The sequence below is a fragment of the Homo sapiens genome, chromosome 19 (genome assembly GCF_000001405.40).
Source record: "Homo sapiens chromosome 19, GRCh38.p14 Primary Assembly".
NCBI classification, from domain to species: domain Eukaryota; kingdom Metazoa; phylum Chordata; class Mammalia; order Primates; family Hominidae; genus Homo; species Homo sapiens.
The window spans coordinates 34,532,817-34,534,501 of NC_000019.10; the positions used below are offsets into that span (position 1 = coordinate 34,532,817).

The window sequence follows — 1,685 nt, forward strand, 5'->3', positions numbered from 1 at the left end:
TTGACATGTTCCAATCTTGCCATGTAATTTCCATTGACTTTCTATACTAGTGGGTTCTAATAGAAATAGGTTGTCTCAGCTTCGAGGGAGATTAAGCTTAGCAGGTATGGTTTGAGGCACTCTGAAAATTACCCTGAGAAATACATTAACTTACATGGTTGGGGCCCTCCCTCTTGCCAAACTGCTATTAGAATAAAAGATGAGGCATCTAATTTCCCAATAAAAAGAAAGGCAGTGTATAGGGTTTTTTCATTTCATTTTTTATTGTAATAAAATATGCATAACATAAATGTTACCACTTTATTTTCAAGTGTACAATTCAGGAGCATTACGTACGTTCACAAGCTTGTGGATCCACTAGCATTATCTATTTCCAGAACTTTTCATCATCCCCAACCAAACCTCTGTATCCAATAAACAAAAATTCTCCCTTCCTCTCTGCCTCTAGCCCCTGGTAACCTGTAATTTTTGTCTCTATGAATTTGCCTATTCTAGGATAGACCATATTAGGCCACAAAACAAGTCTTAATAATTTTATTTTTTAAGTACAATTTCCATTTTATTTTTCCCCAGAGAATAGTCTGTCTTCAGTCTTTAAGGACTAAGCTCCTTACATGGGCTTTGGTGGGGGTCATGGGGAAGCACCCGCAGGTCTAAATCGGGGAGGGGGTGTTGGGTCCTTGCGGGCTTCATGAGATCGATTCCTGACTACTTTGCTGTGAATTGCACAACTCACACAGTAATGTAGTTTCACATACAGCTTGGGAAGCACATAGGCATTGAAGGTGCTTGCTTCAGAAATGTCCCTGACTGCCGCGGCCTCCACTATGTTTCAAATGATGAGTTTTTTTCTTTTTTTTTTTGAGACGGAGTTTCGCTCTTGTCACCCAGGCTAGAGTGCAGTGGCACAATCTTGGTTCACTGCAACCTCCGTCTCCCGGGTTCAAGCGATTCTCCTGCCTCAGCCTCCCAAGTAACTGAGATTACAGACTCCTGCCACCACGCCAGGCGAATTTTTTGTATTTTTAGTAAAGATGGGGTTTTACCATGTTGGGCAGGCTGGTCTCGAACCCCTGACCTCGTGATCTGCCCACCTTGGCCTCCCAAAGTGCTGGGATTACAGGCATGAGCCACTGCACCTGGCCCCAGTGACGAGTTTCTTAACGGCTTTGTACTTGGGCATGCATCGGGCACAGTTCATGCAGCAAATAGGCTGCATGTGGCCGCGGCCCTTTTTGGCATGATTGTTGTTCTTTCTTTTCTTTGTCATCTTTGAGGCACAATGACCAGAGAGAGGTAGTCTTAATAACTTTAAAGATTGAAATCATACAGTGTATCTTCTGATCACAATGTAATGAAACACTAGAAACAAATAGCAGACAGAAAACAGTAAAATTCACAAATATATGGCAACTAAATGGCACACTCAAATCACAGATAGGTCAATGAAGAAATCACAAGGTAAATTAGGAAATATCTTGAGGGATATTACACTACCTCATATACTTATCCTTTTTTGTGGTAAGAACACTTAAAATTTACTCTCAGAAATGTTCAAGAATATAATGCATTAACTGTAGTCATCATGTTGTGCAATAGCTCTCTTTTATTTCTCCCATCTAACTGAGGTTGTGTATCCTTTGACCAACTTGGGACCCCTTAGTCCCTATTAACCATCATTTTAC

The 1,685-nt window shown here is 41.1% G+C and overlaps 1 pseudogene; it reads right to left on the reverse strand.

Moving 5' to 3' along the window:
• On the reverse strand, positions 542–1,297 carry RPS26P55 (ribosomal protein S26 pseudogene 55; annotated as a pseudogene).